Source organism: Homo sapiens, chromosome 3, assembly GCF_000001405.40.
Source record: "Homo sapiens chromosome 3, GRCh38.p14 Primary Assembly".
NCBI lineage: Eukaryota > Metazoa > Chordata > Mammalia > Primates > Hominidae > Homo > Homo sapiens.
In genome coordinates this window covers 27,662,045-27,668,044 of record NC_000003.12, presented here as the reverse complement: position 1 = coordinate 27,668,044, position 6,000 = coordinate 27,662,045, and the positions used below count along the sequence as shown (strand labels likewise).

Genomic DNA, 6,000 nt, shown 5'->3' with positions numbered 1-6,000 from the left:
ACAAATTTCAGATTTTTTAAAATGGCATTTGAGGGCATGATAATTTACCCCTCATCTTTGTTTCCCAGCAGTCTCAACTGTTGTTTCTCCTCTTTCCCCATGTATATCCTGTGACCTTGCCTTCCCAGAACAATGGGATAAGCATAAGGCTGAGATTAAGCACATGAACTTTGGAGCCAGAAGCCTGGTTCTCCCACCCAATATCAAATACCAGTGTAACTTTAGGCAAGTTATTTTACTTATCTGTGCCTCTGTAAAATGGCACAGCAATACCTCCTCTACAGAGTCACTGTGAGGGTTAGCTGAGATAATACATATAAAGCACACAGAACAGTAGCTGAGCACTCTGCAAGTGCTGTTATTATTGGTGGTTGTTTGATACATCCCATGTGGAACATACCACAAGTGTTTGTGTTGTGCCCTGTCTGGACAATTTTTTTTTCCATTTAACAAACTCCTTCAAGACCCTACTCAAGTATTAACCTTTCTATGCAGTTTTCTCTTATCAGCTCCTTACACTCAACTCTAAGAATTAATTGCACTTGGTTTTTCAAGTCTGTAATATTTTTTATGTATGTCTATTTCTGCACTTATAACATTATATCATGATTAATTGAGTGTGTGTGTGTGCACGCATGTGTGTGTGTGTATCTCCTATCTCCCATGTGAACTGTGAGCTCCCTGTGGGGGGGGGGGGGATGGTATCTTTTTCATCATTAAACCTCCAATGCCCAGTATAATGCCTGGAGTATGATTGGTGCTCCATAAAATTAGTTTAATGTAAGAATGAGCAAGTGGGTAAATGAATGAATGACTGAAATTGCTGCAGAAAATAGGGTGGGACCTACATCGAGAGCCCACCCATCTTCCACCCCTTTCTTGAGACTTCCAGTATAACGGGAGGCATCTTACCTGATCCTCCAACAATCTATTTGTTTCATATACCCTCATTGGTATTCCCCCAACCCCCCCATACTACCTTCTTTCTAATACTTCCCTTCCAGGCCAGAAGAGCATAAGGATGAGACTGCTGAAAGATGCTCAGCATTTGAACAGAGGCAGGTTGCCATGGCAACCATCCACAAAAAGAGTGGCAGCATGTGCTACTATTTCTCAGACCTGGCTCCCAGCCCGGCCCTGGCTGGTGGGAGGCAGCAGAGAGACGCTGTGTAGCATTTCCACATTACAGTTTGTGCTGCACCCCATTGCTTCCTCATTTCATGCTGCGGTTGTGAGTTTTACAGTTTGCTTTTCTGTAGGAATTTTGTTTTCTTTAGGTTTGTGGTGGTAGAGGCAGGGAGGAATGAGCAGACTGAACCCAAGCCATCTTTTAAAATGTTTCTAAATTAGCAGGAGTCTACCCTTGGTCTCCTGTTTTTATCCCATAGAAATGTTTTGGGGATTAGTGACAGGAAGCCCTGCTTAGTGCTTAAGAGCTGCTTTGTGAGGAAAAGATTATTGTTGAGCCAGAAACAAGCCACAGGTGTGTTGCATTCAGACCTTGAGTAGAGGATAGGGCTGGGAGGACTTATTCCTGTAGCTTTGTGCTTTCAGGACTGTTGTTGTTTACTGGGTCTTTCGCCAAAGTCACATGGGAGACAAGTTTGCATTTCCTGTAAAAACAGCTGTGGGAGACTTCATTACAATAAGTAAGAGTCTAGTGATAGATTCTGAGAACTCAGTACCAGGAAAAGCTTCTGTTTCTTCATGAACTGTGGCTTATTTTTTCTACTAATGGACAGTGGACATCATATAATTGCTGGAAGTTCTGAGCTACATATTATGTTCCAAATACTAGTTTCCTTTTTTCTTTTTTTTCCTGGTTTTTTATATTTATTTTATTTTATTTTTTGAGACAGAGTCTCTCTCTGTTGCCCAGGCTGGAGTGCAGTGGCATGATCTCGGCTCACTGCAACCTCCGCCTCCCGGCTTCAAGCGATTCTCCTGCCTCAGCCCCCTAAGTAGCTAGAATTATAGGTGCACGCCACCACGCCTGGCTAATTTTTTTGTATATTTTAGTAGAGACTGGGTGTCACCATGTTGGCCAGGCTGGTCTCGAACTCCTGACTTCAGGTGATCTGCCCACCTTGGCCTCCCAAAGTGCTGGGATGACAGGCGTGAGCCACCGTGCCCGGCCCCAAATACTATTTTCCTTATTCAGCAGGTCTTATTACAATATATTTTATTACAAGCATGTAATAAAATATGTAATAAAAATACAATAAAATGTAATATTTTATTAGGAATATTACAATATACCTTTTTTTAGCCATTTTGGACCTGTGAATTTTTTTTTTTTTTTTTGAGACAGGGTCTTAATCTGTCACCCAGGCTGGAATGCAGTGGCATGATCTCAGCTCACTGCAGCCTTGACCTCCTGGGTTCAAGCAATCCTCTCACTTCAGCCTCCTGAGTAGCTGGGACTGCAGCCACACCACCACACACAGCTAACTTTAAAATTGTATTGGAGACAAAGTGTTGCTTTGTTCCCCAGGCTAGTCTCGAACTCCTGGACTCAAGTGATCCTCCCGTCTCAGCCTTCCAAAGTGCTGGGATTACAGGCATGAGCTACTGTGCCTGGCGGGGCTGTGATTTTATTAGAAATTATCATCTATCCTTTTGGTAAATGAGATTGGAACCAGAATGTACCTGGTATGTTGAAGAATCTTATAATAACATATTTGCCCCATAATTTCCACTGACTCCGCCAGGTTGAGTCCTCATCTAACAATATAGCCTTTCCTTTCATTTGAAAAATGACTCATTTGGTTTTAAAACTCAGTCCTGTTCATTTGTTTATTTTTATTTTACTTTATTTTTTTGAGATGGAGTTTCGCTCCATCACCCAGGCTGGAGTGCAATGGCGCAGTCTCCACTCACTGCAACCTCCGCCTCGTGGGTTCAAGCGATTCTCCAGCCTCAGCCTCCCAAGTAGCTGGGATTACAGTCACCCGCCACCACGCCCAGCTAATTTTTGTAGTTTTAGTACAGATGGGGTGTCACCATATTGGCCAGTCTGGTCTTGAACTCCTGACCTCAGGTGATCTGCCTGCCTTGGCCTCCAAAGTGCTGGGATTACAGGTGAGAGCCACCACGCCAGGCCAGTCTTGTTCATTTAACACTTCAGTCTCGTTTCTTGTTCAAATGATTCCTTCTCCTCAACCATCTTGACTCCTTACCATCTTCCATATACTAGACTTGAGAATCTACTGGCCGGGAGCCAACGGTGAATGGGACATGGCAGAATGGCAATTGCCCAAGGCAGAGTTGTAATCCCCTGACCTAGCTCTTATCTGTAAGTTCCCATAGGCCAAGATGACAAGAGGCCACCCCAAGCAGTTCTCCATGAGTGACCCCTTTGAAAATTCAGCCACTTTGTCTGGCCGCATTCCAGCTTATGGCAGCATCCTCTGCCCATGCCGTTGTGGTCTTAGACATGGCCGTAACACAGAATCATCTTCTGGCCCTGGCCATCTCTTCTTCACTTGGACGTGTGTTCCTCATCCCTTTTCTCGTCTATAAATTTATCCTGACCACAAGGCACCCCTGGAGTCTCTCTGAATCTGCTGTGATTCTGGGGGCCGCCCAATTCACAAATCGTTCATTGCTCAATTAAACTCCAGTAAATTTAATTCGGCTGAAGTTTTTCTTTTAACACAGCACACCAGCAGGCCTGAGTGCCTGGTGGCTATGAAGAGAACACGATGTCAGTGGGCCCCAAACATCAGGGTGATTCTCTGATGCCCTCCCACACTTGGGTTTTGAGTTGTGAAAAGAGGAGGCAAAATAACTTCACAAATGCATCATGTCCCCTCCTCCAAAGGTGCCTCTCCTCAGGCCCCTCTCGTGTGGACTAGGGTGTGTGGGAGGGTGGAGAACATTTTGCTGGCCCTTTGACGAGCCCGGCCCTTCTCATGAAGCCCTGTGGTGAGGCAGCTGGGCCCAGCCTCTGCAGATCCTAGGAGGCAGATTCTGGGCTGCCATTGGTTTTGTTCTTAGAGATGACCCTTGAGTCGCAATTCTGGGAAAATGGAGGGAAAATCACACATCCTCCATAATCTCATTCCTGTGAAATTAGTACATTGTCAAAAATTGTTTCCAGTGTCCATGAAGGGTTTATGGCACCAGAAAAAAACAACAGAATTCTTTTTATTTATATATTTATTGGTAGGACTCTCTTTTGCAGATGTCAGACCTTCTTGTTTTAAGGAAAGGACATATGAAAGCCTTGTCATTTCCAGTCGTTACCTCCAGCAGACAGTGGGTTCACCGGCAGCTCAGAACTTTATGGCATCTATTTTATAGGCTACAGAGAGATGCATTTGGGGGTTGGGGGTTCCCTTTTTTCCTTTTTTTTTTTTGAGGCAGAGTCTTGCTCTGTCGCCCAGGCTGGGTGCAATGGTGCGATCTCGGCTCACTGCAACTTCCGCCTCCCGGGTTCAAGCGATTCTCCTCCCTCAGCCTCTTCAGTAGCTGGGATTACAGGCATGTGCCACCATGCCTGGCTAATTTTTGTATTATTTTTAGTAGAGATGGGGTTTCACCATGTTGGCCAGGCTGGTCTTGAACTCCTGACCTCAAGTGATCTGCCCGCCTCGGCCTCCCAAAGTGCTGGGATTGCTTGCATAAGCCACAATGCACAGCCCCCCTTGTTCTTAAGTTGTGCCCAAGTCCATGGTTGCTAGACAGCTCTGGCTAGATAACATTGGCCAGAAAAAATTTCCATGTTCTTTTCAGTCTAAGAGATGGGAAACATGCTCTGTGGTGAAGTTCAAAAGGAACTTGCTATAATAGATGAATGGTGCCGATTAGGAGCAATTGTGCAAATCCCTATCAAAAAAGGACAAGAGACATAGAAATCTAAGGGAGAACAGTTGTCTTGGTACGGCTTCTCTAAATCTAATTTCGATGTTACAGCTGCTTTGTGGCTACAGTATTATTATCAGAATGTGTTGATAGGAGTTATGCTGGGGAGAAGCCCACCTCCTGTAATAGATGTGATGGAGTCGGCAGGGGTGGAGGAGTCTCACTTAGAGAATAAGATTATCTCTATTGTAGTTACTTGAGGAACACAAACATCCTTTAGAACTTCAACTGAGATCAGTGTCCCCAGGTAAAAATAATAGCTACCATCTATCACATACTAACCATGTGTGAGGCTTCATCTTAAATGGTTGTCAGGTATTAGCTTACATATTCCTTACAACAACATCTGAAATAGATCCTATTAATATCCCTTTTTACAGATGAAAAAGCTGAGGCAAAGAGAGGTTAAGTAACATTTCCAGGGATACACAGTGAGTAAGCAGTAGAGTAGGGATTTGAATGTGAGTAATTTCCCTTCAGAACCCAAATTCCTAACTCCCTACTATATTGTTGCTGCATTGGTATAGGCAGGATTCTTTGGATTTGGGGTGCAGCAACCTAACCTAGGGGATGAAACCCACAAGCTGTTGGAGCAGAAACTGTATAGTTTCTGCTTTTTTTTTTTTTTTTTACTTACATATTTTTCCTATTTGGTTTTCTTTGATATTAACTATACCCTTTTTAGCATAATTAGGAAGTCCATGAGAATTGGATTTTTACAGTTGGGTCCAAATGACACAGAGGGATCAGAGTGCCTTGAGGCCACTGTGGTGACAGTAAGGCAGTGTTCAAGTGAGACAACACCAAAGGTGACCTGGCAAAGGAAGGCACAGTCAAGGTTGGTTGGCTGTCTACAGATGTTCTCATCTGGACATTCTCTTTCTGTGGCCAGACTTGGAGTTCCTGGTTTGATTTTCTTGGAGAACACAGAATTTTTTAAGATACCATCTTCAGAAGAAAGTTATAAATCAAACATACAAAACACACACACTATGTTAGTCTGTTCCCACACTGCTATAAAGAACTGCCAGAGACTGGGTACTTTATAAAGGAAAGAGGTTTAATTGACTCACAGTTCAGTATGGCTGGAGAGGCCTCAGGAAACTTACAGTCATGGTGGAGGGGAAGAAAACA

The 6,000-nt window shown here is 43.9% G+C and overlaps 1 annotated feature.

Moving 5' to 3' along the window:
- Positions 1,141 to 1,190: a silencer, noted in NCBI's record as "silent region_14152". NCBI's record gives its function as "represses an Ori minimal core promoter by ATAC-STARR-seq in GM12878 lymphoblastoid cells {active_cell/tissue: GM12878}" and the evidence as "EXISTENCE:reporter gene assay evidence [ECO:0000049][PMID:35858748]".